The sequence below is a fragment of the Homo sapiens genome, chromosome 12 (genome assembly GCF_000001405.40).
Source record: "Homo sapiens chromosome 12, GRCh38.p14 Primary Assembly".
NCBI lineage: Eukaryota > Metazoa > Chordata > Mammalia > Primates > Hominidae > Homo > Homo sapiens.
This window is the reverse complement of record NC_000012.12, coordinates 2,495,664-2,509,542: the sequence shown is the minus strand read 5'-3', so window position 1 is coordinate 2,509,542 and position 13,879 is coordinate 2,495,664. Positions and strand designations below refer to the sequence as shown.

The following is a 13,879-nucleotide window of genomic DNA, read 5'->3' as shown; positions in this document are numbered from 1 at the left end:
TCAATCATATATATTAAATAAGGTGTCTTTAAATAGAAACACACTTAAAACAAGGTTATGTATTGATTGGTTGACAAAATGTGGGCAGAGGCTCACAGGAAACAACTCTGTAGTTCCTCAGGACCAACGTCTCAGTGTCCACTACTTCATGTTTGTGGTGACTTTATGGAATGTAACCGTCATGAATAAGGGTTACATTCCATAACATGTAAGGGTTACATTCCATAACATGACTGTGTATGTTGGGCCATCTCTTCTGCTCCCACCCACAAGGCACGTGTGTCCTGACCTTTTATTGCTTTCTTCTGGTCCCAGATACTGTGTCTTAACTGTGGGCCATGGTCCAGCGATACTTCCTGGCTGTAAAATGCCTACCTCCCGGGTCCTCTGCTTTTTGGGGACAAGACATGCCCATCTCCCAGTGGGAAAAGGGATGGGATGACTACCTATGTAAGAAATCGTGGGCCTCTTGCCAACTGGAGGCGCACTTCCCAAGCCCTCTGTTTGCAGTCGCTTAAAACAAAAAGCAACCAGAGTCCAGAGGCTTCCACCTCATTACAGCTTCAAGTGCAATTTCAAGAATGTCATCATCACCGTTGTCTTTATTCTAGTCGACTGGAGATTGAGCTTTCTGAGGGGAAGTAATCATAATCTGATTATTATCCATAAGAGCACCAGTCCTATGTCTTGCATAGGGTTAATGTGAGGACCATCAGATAATAAAGTATTTTGAAAAAATCCTTTAATATCTATTCTTTATATTGACTTTATCTGGCCTCATCAGAAATAGGTGTTCTGGATGTGTGCATGATCCAGATAGAAGAGGTCTAACCCTCTCAGGGCCAAAAGTCTTTGAATTTCCATTAAAAATTTTTTCTTTTTTACTTTTAGAGACAGAGTCTCGCTCTGTCACCCAGGCTGGAGTGCAGTGGCATGACTATGGCTCACTGCAGCCTCAAACTCCTGGACTCAAGTGATCCTCCCACCTCGGCTTCCCGAATACCTGGGACTATAGGTGCTGCCACCAAGCCCAGCTAATTAAAAAATATTTTCTTTGTAGAGAAAGGGTCTCACTATGTCGCCCAGGCTGATCTCAAACTCCTAGCTTCGCATGATTCTCTTGCTTCAGTCTCCCAACACTGGGATTATAGGCATGAGCCACCATGCGCAGCCCTGAATTTCCACACTTTAAATGGAAGCTTTATGGAGTCATCTTCTCTACCTTCACAAGCACAACACACCAAGCACCGTTCAATCTTTCCTTAGTGACTGAAGGACATAATTTATGAGGATGAGTTACTGTGCAGGGCTATAAAATCATATTATCCTTAATTGTTGGAATGCAGGGTTTCACACCCACTTCTCCCAGTCCCAGAAGGCTCCAAGACTGCAGTGCTATTCAGTTAGTGGCTTTGCTCTCTTTCAAGGGCCATGAAGATCTGCAGGGCTGCCGGTCCCTCTGCTAAGCAGCCCAGCCCTGCTGCAGGCCTCTGGGCGGTTGCCTTCGCAGCTTCCTGCTGGGATTCTGTGTGCCTGCTGGCTGTTTCCCGCAGTCTGTGCTGATTGCTTCTGTGCCTGCCTGCTCGCTCCTCTCACCCTTCCTACTGCAGCTTCTGCTCTTCCCCTCTCCATTTCTCGCCTGTCATTTAAAAGCATGGGATGAACCCGTCCTATGGGTTTGGGGAGAGTACACCACAGAGGTCAGGGATAGAAGTGATGGATTCACATCGCTTGGGCTCAGCTCTGCATCCTGCATTTCTCACCTGCTGGGATTGAGGTCATTTTGCCTGGTGAGCTTCACTTGCCTTCTCTGTAGAATGGACACAGGAATAGCACCAGCTCACTGAGTTGCCATGAGCATTAACTGAGCGAATCTAGCGAACACGCCGAGCACGGAGCCTGACACAGAGAATGCTAGTGACTGTTAATGTGACAGTCAATTTCATGGAGCAGTGAGACCTTTTTGAATGCTTCTGGAAGTGTAGCTTAATCAGAAGTCTGATGAATAAGTGGGTGTTTGACTGCATGGTCAACTACATCTGCACCCAGTAAGTGTGTGACTATTCTACGGTCCTGGCTAATCAAGACACTGACTGGAAACCGTTGCCTCTGAGTGGTCAGCCAACAGAAGCTGATTCCAGCTTTGGCACTGCATGGGGCGGGGGCAACCAATTCAGAGTGGCCAGCCCTTGACACATGAGGAGAGGCCTCCTTAAACCAGAAAGGGGAGGTGCTCGCCCATACACACATCTTTGCTCTTTAGGGCAGACCTTTGGCCAAGGAAGCCTTGGCAGATGTTCTATCAGTGATTCAGGAGCTGCAAGGAGCAGACGGCAGCTCTCAGAACAGGTCAGGAAACAGAGGCTGGCGAAGGTCTCCAGGAAAGACCAGCGTATCGACTCAAAGACTCCTAAGTTCAGAGGTCAGATAGCCTTAATGTTCTTGTTCTGAGTCAACCAACATTTTTGAATATTACTAAGCTCCAGGTTTGGGGTGAGGGGTCTAAATACACCCTAGCGCTTTTAGGCTGAGTCAGCCAAGATATGGCCTTCAAAGTGGCTTCTTCCCCAACATCAGCAGTTTCTGTCACTTGACTTCACTGCTTTGATTCCTGGGCAGACGCTCTGCTCAGGGAGGACCCTCAGGGCCCAGCCCTCATTCTCCACTTCAGGCTCTTGGTGGGGGGTTACTTGCTCAGATTTGGTTCCCAGTCTCCAGGGGAAGAAAGTGGAGTTACATTCTTTTAAAAGTCTTGAGCTGTGGCTTGTGTTGCAGTTCAAGCTCATTCATCATAGATCTCATGGGAGGCGGTGCCTTGAGGGCTGGCTCTGGTTCTGCTACTTACCAGGGAAGTGACGTTGTACAAATCACTTAACATCTCTGGGCTCACGCTCCTCATCTTTAAGAGGAAAGGCTGGAGCATGTCTAATATTTGATGATTCTATACTTCTAGTTATAACAGGCACCAAGTAAATAATAATCATTGTAATGATAGCACCATTATTGGGCACTTATTATATACCACTGTGTTAAGTATTCTGAAAATGATCTTATTCTATCATCACAGCCACCTATGCACTGGAATTATCAGCTTCACTTTTTCAGATGGGGAAACTAAGATTTAAAAAGGTGAAACCACCCAACATTATGTACCCAGCAAGGGCAGAGCTGGGATGCCTCAATTTCTGCTTTGATTCAGGGTGATGAGGTTGATTTTTTCAATCTTTTCCTTAGAGATTCACATATAAACACATGGGCATTTTCTTGTGTTTGAACATAAAACTGAAAACCTCTCTACCTTCCAGGCAATGAATCAGGGACTTACGTTGTTCTGCTCATCACTGTTATCCCTGATGGAAGGCACTAGTCTCCTGTGTGGCCTCACCTTAGCAAAAGGCATTTTGTCATCAAGGTCTCTACTGGGCCATTCTCCATGGGAGGTGGAAGAGCTGGGAGGAGATTCTTTCCTCTACGCAGCTCTGAAGGCCAAGCCCACTGCTCTGAACTGCATTAGGGCAGCTGTAGGAGCTGGGAGTAGCGATTCCCAGTTTAGGTACTGGGGGAAAGTGGAGAGCAATCTTTGTCTTTATGCTTAAATTTCTCCCAGCATTAACCTCTCTAGACATTTAGGGAAGACTCTGCAAAGCAGCTGACCAGTCTCAAGCAGAGTAGAAGTAGATTACCCCCCTCCCCCAAGTGGCAAAGGCAGCAGAGTGGGTTACCCATGAGCAGGTCACCAGGAGCATTTAGGTGTTAGGCCTTGGCATGGCTGGTGTGGACTTCTGAAGAAGAAAGTGGGTTGAGGAAATATCCTATGCGTTTCCATGGTGAAAAGGTGGCCATCCTCAGGTGCTTCCTTCCAACCACGTGCTACTTCTACCATGGGGTCTCGCTATGTTGCCCAGGCTGCAGTGCAGTGGCACGATCATAGCTCACTGCAGCCTTGAACTCCTGGGCTCAAGTGATCCTCCTGTCTCAGCCTTCTGAGTTGCTGGGTCTACAGGTGTGCACCACCATGCCCGGTTACTTCTACCACTTCTAACTTCATCTGAGCAAGGGCTGAAATTAGGTAGATGTGATACTTGCAGCCAACTAGATATAAAGTTAGAGGAAATTGCATCCCATCTCCTCTATTCTTAAATAATATATGGCTTTAAACAGTTAAGGGTCCTTTCCATTCAGAAAAGGAAACTCAGAGATAGACTGCTCAGTCTATGAAGTAAAATGAGAATTAGATTTTGAGTCTGTCTTTGTTTATGTTTTAAACCAGTCTTTTCTTACCCAGGCCTGTTCACCAGAGGCCACGAAGGCACAAGGAGAAGTGCCCTGCCTGCCTGGACAGCTACTTGAGGCTGGGAGGGGCCAGCTGGACCCACTTTTTGTGGTGAAGCCAGCTCTCCTCCATTGTCCACCACCAAGACCAGTGGCACATCTGACCCTTTACCCAGCCAGGACAAGGACATCCACTTCAAGGCTCCTGTGGTGACCCCTTATCCCAGGTTCATCAGAGCCAGAAAAAGAATACAGCCAGGAATAGCAGAAAGAATAAATAAAAATAAATGGAAAAATCAAGACCTTTTTCCTTGGTCCTGCTTACCCGCTAAGCACACCGAGAACCAAGTTAAGTACAAAAAATGACCCTATGATGATTAGTGTAACAAAATAGATCCAGGGCCAGTCCCTTCCTACGGCATCATTGACCTGGAAGAACGGAATGATAGTTAGTGAGGCACACTCAGCAACCGAGCACGGCCAGTGCCGGTCCCCGGCTCCCGAGACACTGACCCACGCAGCGCCAGGATCCGGGGACCCTCTAGGTGCAAATCAGAGGCCAAACAGCCTGCCTGGCCAATGGGTCAGAATCTGTGGTTGAACAGAGGCTTTGTTGTGGTTTTCCTGGGCCTGTCAGGGTCCCATCCCTGAGGACCCCGGGCATGTACGGAGTGGAACCTGAGACCTTGCTCGGCTGCGTTGTGGAGAGGACATAGAAACGGTCAGCTTACCCGCTCAACACACCGAGAACCAGATTTAGAACGAAAAAGGATCCAAAGATGACCAGACTGACAAAATACACCCAGGGTAACTCATAGCCCATAGCGTCCTGCATCTGGAAAGACGAAGGAAAGTTAGGAAAGAAGAAGCAGAATTGGGTTACAGCAAAGAGGCAGGCAGCAGGTGTGAGCAGATTGGGAGGGGACAGACGGGGCTGAACGTGGGCTTTGTTCATGTGCACCAGGTTACCCGTGTTACCCAGGGCATCGCCCATGTTCAAAGGAACTCCTGTGACCGAAGGGGACCTCGGCCCGCTCTGCCTCAAGAGGAATCACTCTGTCTCTCTGTGGTTTTATTTTCTGAAAAAGAAACATTTCTCCAATGTTTTCTATTCACTTGTCTGAGAAAATGGGTCACCTCAAAAAATAATTTCTTCAGCATGGGATGGTTTAACTCACTTGGGTTTGCCTGGACATTAAGCCTTCTGTTGCACCCGGAGGCCCCTGACCTTGGTGTATGAAGTGCGTCAGCTCCTGCTGACAGGCCTGGAGAACTGAAACCACAGAGGAGGTGTGAGGAAAGATAACCTTCCTCAGAAGATAACCTTGGCCACCTGGACCGTGGGCCAAGCCCGGAAGTTAGAGGCTAAACCCCAGTGCTTCACACGTACTGCGGGCCACCGGCTGGGAGAGGCAATCATTTTGGTTTATGTATTCAGAGAAGGGTCCTGTGACTGCAACCACAGCTTAGGGGTAAATGGTCCTTAATGTGGAAACTGACTGTAACTACTGAATGGTGGAGAACGCCCTGAAAGGTCACAAACCCCTACGGCAGCCAGAGGGAGTGGTGCGCCGGAGCTGGCTCCTGGGGGCTGAGGGGAGCTCACCGTGCACATCTCTTCCCAGCTCCGTGTTCGTTGACCACACTGGCAGCTTGAAACTGACCATGGTGGAAGTATTTACACCACAGAGATAGGCAAGCAATAAATCAGCCCCCTGTACCCGCTGACCCTAAGAAGAGATGCTTAAACATTTATTAGCTCACCACTGGCTGGAGGGTGGACGTGAAGATAAATTGCAGAGCTGTGCTTCCATCAGAGGAAATTTATTCTGATTTAGTTTCTCAAAGCTATCTCTTCTGATGCCTTCTGACTAAACAGGGTTAAGTTCTGGCTTCCTAAAAATGCACCCAACTTTGTCCTTGTGAAACTAGCTCATAGAAACCCAAACTTCCAAGGCACACAAGTGTCCTGAATGATTCACATCAATGGCTCTCAAAGTGTGGCCCACGGACGAACAGCTTCAGCGTCACCTGGGGACCTGTTCAGAAATGCACATACCTAGACCTCACCCTGACACTGTGGGGAAGGCCCAGCAACCCACGTTTTGACGGCCCTACAGGTGATTCTGATGCATGCTTGAGCACCACTGATCACATTGTTCTCTCCATAGCTCCCAATTTCAAATGTAACAACACAAGTGTGTGGCTCTCCATGTACCTCCACAAGGTTGCATAGCAGTGTTCCTCAAAGTGTGGTCCAAGGACCACCAGCATCAGAAACATCTGGGAGAGTTATGAACAAAGCAGATTCCTGCCCCATGCCCCCAAGATCTCAGGGTGGCCCACAGTCTGCATATTAACCATCCCAGGTGATTCTAGGCTATGCTCAAGTTTGATAACCACCCCACGATTTCCACCCAGGGGCCTCAAAGGAGTTCAGGCAGGTGGGATAGTAATACCCTCAGCCCTTGGGCTTTGCAGCTTCAGCAGCCACATGCATTTGTCTAAGTACGCTGGATAAACATGTTCTCTGCATGCCGGGAATAAAAGACTGAGAAGTACCGAGACACCTAGCTAGTCTGACTGGTATGAAGTGTTACATCCCAATATGTTCTTTACAGATCCATTGAGATGTATCTGATATTACTAAATTTTGGTTAGGAAAATTCACCCAACATAATCATTGTGCATAGTGCAAATATCGTGTCTGGGGCAAGAAGATTCCCAGTGTGTGCCCACTTGGCCATGCCATCGTGAAATTCAATTGAACGTGGGTTTACTGAGCATGCCCATTTTCTCACATCTGGTTTGCTTTCCCAGAGCACTTCTCACTTGGTAACTGTATCATTACCTATTTATTACGTGTATTATTTGCTGTTTGTCTTCCATGCTAGAATGTGAGCTCCCCGAGGACAGTTGGTTCTGGCCTGCTTTGTTCACGGGTGTACCCCAGGTGCCTACAACGATGCCTCGCACATAGTAGGTCCTCAGCTAACGCTCTTTGAGTGAATGAGTGAACCTGATATGTGCTAGGTACTGTGCTGTAAACACGAAATCCTTGCTGGAGGGGAGACAGGAAATGACCAGGCAGCTACAGTGCAGGCTGGCAGCTGCAACTGCAGAAGGAAGCACGCAGGGTCCCAGAAGGCTTCCACCAGTGGAAGAGTGTCTGCGTGAGGCTGAGGGGGGCAAGGGCCAGGCTCAGCAGGCCTGTGTCAACCTTGCACTGCACAGCCACTGAAGGCAACGGAGATAAAGAGCAGGAAGGAAGCCCCAGAGTCCATGTGGTCCTATGATAGCAATGGAGGTTTGCAGAAGTCGGCAATTGTTAAAAATAGAGCCTATGGCTGTGAGGCCATCCTGGCTGCAAAGATTCTCCCAGTGGCTGAACTACTAAAATATCCAGCAAAAGAGCATCTGTTAGGAGAGGCGGGGTGAAAGGTCCTTGTGTGTCAGACACTGTCCCCATCCCAGGGAGCCTGGGAGCTTTCCTTTAGCGATAAGGTAACTGTCTGAACCAACAGTGCAAAGGAAACCACACCAGACTTCAGCACCAGGAGAAGAAAAACAAACCCGAGCCAATACAGGATGGGTGGGATTGGTGACATGAGATTAGGGAGAGAAAGGCATGAGAGCCACATGAGCTGCCTGACCACAGGCCACACTGACAGCCGTGCTGGCCACGATGGGCTGTGGTCTGCAGGTCCCATTTGACGATGGGAACCGTGAGGTCATTCTTTGACTATTCTTAGCAGTGGTCACATCAGAGTCCACGTTTGTTCAACAAGTATTTACCGAGCGCCTACTTGTGTAAGGGTTCTGTTGTGTATCGGACTCTCTGATACAGGGAAGGCAATGGGGTTGAGACAGCCCTGGAATGGGAGTCCCAGGCACCTGCTGAGGAAGAGGGAAACCTGGATCCAAGGTCAGGGGGAGCCTGTGGGTGTCCTTGTAGCTTTTCCTCTCTCAGAGTAAGTCCTGCTAAGGAGGGTCAGAAGCAGTCCCTTTCTTTTCCTCTAAATGAGTATTGCTTTACTTTTTTTTTTTTTTTTTTTTTTTTTGAGGTGGAGTCTCACTCTGTCGCCCAGGCTGGAGGTGCAGTGGCGTGATCTTGGCTCACAGCAAGCTCCACCTCCTGGGTTCATGCCATTCTCCTGCCTCAGCCTCCCGAGTAGCAGGGACTACAGGCACCCGCCACCACACCTGGCTAATTTTTTTTTTTTTTTAAAGTAGAGACGGGGTTTCACCGTGTTAGCCAGGATGGTCTCGATCTCCTGACCTCGTGATCCGCCCACCTCGGCCTCCCAAAGTGCTGGGATTACAGGCATGAGCCACTGCCCCCGGCCTGCTTTACTTTTTTGAGAGGGTGGGGCAGTCAGGAAAAGCTTTTGAGAACTATGGACTCCCACCAGCAGTAATGTGCACTGCACACACACAGCATCCTGCAGACAGCCTCGAGGGCACGCCGGCACCCTGAAGCGCGTGCAGAACCCCATGGTACTGACCTACTCCAAACAACTGGTCTGTTCTGTTCGACCCCAAAGGAGCTTGCCCCGTGTGCGTCAGGGGATCAAGAGTGGCAGAGGATGTCTGTTCTTGGCAAACTCCCCTTGCTCCTCTCTGGGTCACAGACCCCACCTTCTTCAGGACACGTGGGAGCAGCCAGTTCCAGGAGGCCACGACGTGCTCACCACAGTTCCCCTCCCAAAGCTGCCTCTGGAGCCTGGGCAGATGGCGAGTGGGAGTTGGGCTCGATGGCGCCCAGGCAACTTCCTCAAAATGAAATCTTTCCTCACTAGTTCCTCACACCCCTTAAATTTTGTGAACATTTAACCTCACAGAAAATGCAGCCTTGGAGGCCACACAAACCCACGCGCCTTGGAGATTTCCTAAGGCCCGAGCTTAGTCTGGGAATCCTTTCTTCTGCGCCACACACAAGGTGAGAGGCTTCCAGCATATGAAGGACTTCAAAGGGGGAGCTACAGACCTCAAGGTCATGGCCCCACAGACAGCCAGGACCATAAGAGGAAACTCATGGGTCCCCCTCGCCGTCCCACACTGCTGCTTTGGTCCCCCCTGGGCTGTGGGCTGGTTTTTTAGAGGTTCGAGATGGGGAACAGCAGGCGAGGGCAGGAAGCAGGAGGACAGATGAGAGATGGAGACGGACGAGGCCAGGGTGGTCCTCAGAACCCCACTGCCTGGGTGAGCAATGCTCGGCTGCCACAGAAGGTGATTCTCTGGCCTGCCTGGCTCTGGTCTGAAAGGAAAGTTCTCCTTTCACTTCCCTCTTACTTTCTCCTCTTTATTCTGGTCCACCTACTTTGGGGGGACAGCTGAGTAGAGAGCACACAAAGCTGGGTGGCTCTGAAGTAGGGCGATGCCTGGAGTCATGAGATTGATGTCCTAAAGCAGCTGAAATGGAGCTATTAAGAAGACAAAGAATAAAGTCAGATTTAAAAAAAAAAATGACCCAGATTGCTGACACCCTTATTTAGAGGTGAAATAAGGGATAGGTCTTCTAGAGCCATTAAGCCGTGTTCCTCAGGTCTCCTGACTTTCCTAAGGAAAGTCAGCTCATTGTCTGTAGCCTTGAGGGCCTCCAGGCCCAAGTACTGGCAGGACGGCCCCTGCCTTGGCTGAAACAGCCTCACTACAAAGGGAGGGAGCATTGAATGAACACTATCAAAGACCTTTCGGCAACCAGCATCTAATTCCTTGAAGGGAACCCCAGATTTAAACCCTCAAGTCCACTTTTTATCTTTCCCCAAAAAGATAAACAGGGGAATAAGCTTCCCTAGCCCCTCTCCTCGAGGCCAACTCCCCAGCCCAGCAGACTTCCACGGGTTCTCAAGCTGTGTGTACCTTTCCTGTAAGGTTCTTGGCACAGGCACTGTGGATCCAAAAAGGCTGAATCGTTTCAGCAAATGTCGAGAGAGAGGCTGACACCTGCCATCGAAAGGCAGGAGGTGTAAATCTGTGAAAGCCACGGTGCTTTACACTGTCACTGGGGGACAGGATCTGCTGCTGCCAGTGAACACCAGTCAGCTCAGGGCAATAGCTCCATCAACCTGCGGCTTTCAGAATCTATGTCACCTTGCTTGCTGGGACACGGGCAGCTACCTCACGGAGCACCAAGTGAGCAGGAAGTTGTGGAACAGGCTCCACCTGGCTGCTCCCCACCCCTGCACCTGCTTATTGAGTGCTGAAAACCCGGGAGTGCCTCAGAGCCCAGGTAAAAGCTTAGTTTACATGGGGGAAGAAAACAACAAGCTCCTAACACCAAGGCAAGCCAACAAAATAAGCTCCTCCATGCATTTCAAACTCCCTGGAATCAGATGGACTCATGTGCTGACATCATGTGGGAGGTTGGGAGCTGTCATAGAGAGTAGTGGGCCCCAGTGTGTGAAGACCTGTGCAGGAGACAACTGGCTGACAGCCATAGCAATGTTGAGAGAACCTAAAACCCAGGTCTCTGCGGCCTCCCAAACTGAGACAAAGCTTGCTTTCCCCAGGCAGAAGAGCCTTCTCTCCTGGTCCAGTAAAGCCCCACTTGGTCCTGGAGTGCTCTGTGCCCCTCAGGGCTGTCCTGCTCCCACAGAGGGCACTGACCCCCATGGCTCAGCTGTGTTCCTCCGCATGTCCTGCAACTCTTTAGTTAGACCTGAACTGCCTGGGCAGGCCTTATTCTTCTCTGTGCTCCCACATCCCTCGTCCCAGGAAACAGCAAATGCTCAATAAATGTTTGCTAAATTAAATTACAGAATCATAAGGACTCATCTAATACCAGCAAAATAAATAAAATGAAACCCAATAAATAAATAAAGAATGGCTTTGAGAGATGCTGACTCTCTTCCTTGATATGCTTCTGAACAGCCAGTTTACTGTTTAGATCAGGGATTCTCCATTTTAGGCAACAGGTGCACCCTGGGGGTAGCACGGAGGCAGGTGAAAAGTCAGGGACCACAGAGGTCCTAACACGGTCTCTACTCCGATACCTGAGAAAGGGCCCTGGACACTGTTTCTGGGTTACTTGAGGGTTTCTCAGCTCCTCACTTAGAATGACTCCTAGGTCATCAGCAGAATTCAGCTCTAACTTTTATGAAGCCTTCAGCAACTCTATATTCTGCAGTGAAAGGAGGTGGCTTTGTGAAGATGGAGTAGACAAAAATAGGGTAAAACACCCAATTCAACCTGCTTGGATGCAAAAGGTCTTTGTCATAAACGAGGGATATTTCAGCAGCACCAATACCAAGAGATTAATAGCTGTTGTGTGTGTGTGTGTGTGTGTGTGTGTGTGTGTGAATTTAATAGAAATACCTTCTCCGCACATCCAGACACATAGTGGGATGGCAAGATGAAGGGTGGAGCTGACAAGTGACTTATGAAAAGTTAACTCATTAGATTTTTGTTCCAAGAGTCTCCTGTTGGCTGAACCAAAACAAATTCCAGGTTCTAGAGAACACACTATTTGTGACTCTAAAAAAATCTTTCTTTTAGATGATTTCTCATTAAGTATTTTTTATAACCTAATTTTTAAGTTTAATTTTTAACTTGTAAAAAAAAATCAGTCGAAGAACTGATCACGGAGAAACTAATGCAGGGGCAATGGGTGGTGTCAGGAAGAGGGTGGTCCCAATAGGATGGGAAGGGGCATGAACCCAGGATAACGCGGGCCAGAGGCTCTTTACTGTGGTTCACAGTGTGCAACATTCTTGGGGATCCCAGAAGGGCATGGGGTGGACAGAAGTCAACAGAATGCTCCTGATGAATTATCCAGGCATTGAGATTCCTAAAGAGCTAGAAACACATCCTCTAGTGTGATGCCTAGTCTAGCTGCTGCCCCCCTTCCACAATTCTCACCTGCAACGTTCTGCGTGTGTCCCCAACCCCTATCAGTGGCCATGTCATTCTGTTTCCCATGAGCAGGGGCCTCATCTCAAGTGCTGAACACAAAGTCAGCACTGAAAAGATGTTTAATTGATGGATATTTCTGTTACCTGATTGTGACTGCCCACAGTGTGTAAGAGGTCATGCTCAGAGTTTCAAACCAACTGGAATTCTCAGAGCATGCCTATGAATCCTATCGACAAGGTCCTGCAAAGGAGGCTGACCCAGCAGACTTTACATCTTTGAGATGGCTCATGCGTAGACCATGGGAGACAAGCAGCCTTGAATGATGTGCAAAAGGCTAGGGATGTTTAGATTTTTGAAAAAAACAAAACGTGAAACTAAGAATGGAAAACAATGGTAACGTTACACATTAGGTTCTTCCCTCCTTGGTGCTTCACTGCCTCTGAAGAAGGCCAGCGCTTTTTATCTGATCACACTCCCCACACCTACCCATCTGTTTTTAAGAGTCTTGGACATTCTGAGAGTAAAGGATGAGCCTTTGGCTTAAGAAGTAATTTCCTAAGGAAACTATACACCAAACCCGAGTTTTGTTTCATTTCCAAATCCCCGGTATCCACCCTTCCTTATTCTGTCATCTGCACACTCCTCAAACAGGATATTAGGTAGAAGAAATGTTTTCAGCAAATTGCTCGGCTTGTTGGAGCCTCAATGCAATGCATGGCCAATGGCTTTCATAGCTGAAGCAATGTTCAAGTATTACTCGACCAAGTCTGATTTTATTTTTAGTCCACTCTTTAAAATCTAACAATGGAATGCAATAACGGATGTTAGAGGAAAAGAGAAAGATACTGTATCATCCACAACTGGAAGCAAGTGCTGCCATCTGCTAGGTGCCTTCCCTGATCCCTTCTATCTCAGGCCATAACCAGCGGCTGACCAATCGCTTCTTTGATGCTTTAGTGACTTACTCTTTTCCAGCTGTTTGGTGATTTAGAATGAATGGAGCTCTGGGGTTTCCATGCATTACTATATTTGAAAATCTTGGCTGCTCCTTCTCAAGTCCTTTAGACTTGCCCTTGTGCCTGAAGGACAATTCATTCTTCTGAGTGAAAGGCCTTATTTCCCCCTCCTCCCTGTGGAAACTATCTCCTTAGAAGGGTTCAAAGCCAGCAGCATCATACCAGCACCATGAGGTTCAACAGGTTAGATTTCCAGCGTTTTCAAACTCCAGCCTGGAAATCAGAATCACCTGGAGAGCTTTTTCAAAATGCAGATACTGGGGCCCCGACTTTAGAGCTTCTAATTCAATGGCTCTGAGGGAGGTTTGGGTATTTTTATATTTACAAAGCTCTATGTTTGATGCTAGAACATTTTGAGATTTGAGAGTCTGTGCTTTAGAGATACTGGCCTAGAAGCTAAGGAGGAGGGACACTGGAGAGAAAGGAAGAGGGAGAGGGAGGAAGAAGGAAGAAACAGCCGTAGAAAGGTCAAAGCAATTAGAGAAATTGAAAGCAGGAGCACTGGGCTAGGCAGGGCTTCTATCATGAATACCCAAGTTTCAGTTTTAGGTGTGTGTATGTGCACGTGTGTGTATACACACTTGCAGGCGTGCACACACATACAAATGCACACACACACAACATGGCCATTTTGGGAAGGTGCTGGGAAAATCAGAGAGAGGCATGTCCCATGAGCCTGGGATTGTTTCTTCACCTCTGACACTGTTTCCATTCCCAGCCTGAGCACTATCACACGC

General features: G+C 48.4%; 1 protein-coding gene across 56 annotated transcripts in view, besides 2 other annotated features; it reads right to left on the bottom strand.

The window, feature by feature from the left end:
* Nucleotides 1–13,879, bottom strand: part of CACNA1C (calcium voltage-gated channel subunit alpha1 C) — a 727,171-nt gene that overhangs the window by 188,408 nt on the left and 524,884 nt on the right. For 40 of the 56 annotated variants that reach the window (XM_017019927.3, XM_017019928.3, XM_047429513.1 and 37 more), the window contains one exon: nucleotides 4,598–4,701. In XM_017019927.3, the coding sequence (XP_016875416.1) occupies nucleotides 4,598–4,701 (104 nt within the window). Of the gene's footprint in view, nucleotides 1–4,597; nucleotides 4,702–5,003; nucleotides 5,108–13,879 lie in introns of all 56 variants that reach the window. The other 16 variants (XM_017019926.3, XM_017019934.3, XM_017019946.3 and 13 more) reach the window with 1 other exon arrangement.
* Nucleotides 1,038–1,538: an enhancer, noted in NCBI's record as "H3K4me1 hESC enhancer chr12:2617171-2617671 (GRCh37/hg19 assembly coordinates)". NCBI's record gives its function as "activates a minimal SCP1, AML or CMV promoter by ChIP-STARR-seq in naive H9 embryonic stem cells {active_cell/tissue: H9 hESC(naive)}" and the evidence as "EXISTENCE:reporter gene assay evidence [ECO:0000049][PMID:30033119]".
* Nucleotides 1,539–2,039: an enhancer, noted in NCBI's record as "H3K4me1 hESC enhancer chr12:2616670-2617170 (GRCh37/hg19 assembly coordinates)". NCBI's record gives its function as "activates a minimal SCP1, AML or CMV promoter by ChIP-STARR-seq in naive H9 embryonic stem cells {active_cell/tissue: H9 hESC(naive)}" and the evidence as "EXISTENCE:reporter gene assay evidence [ECO:0000049][PMID:30033119]".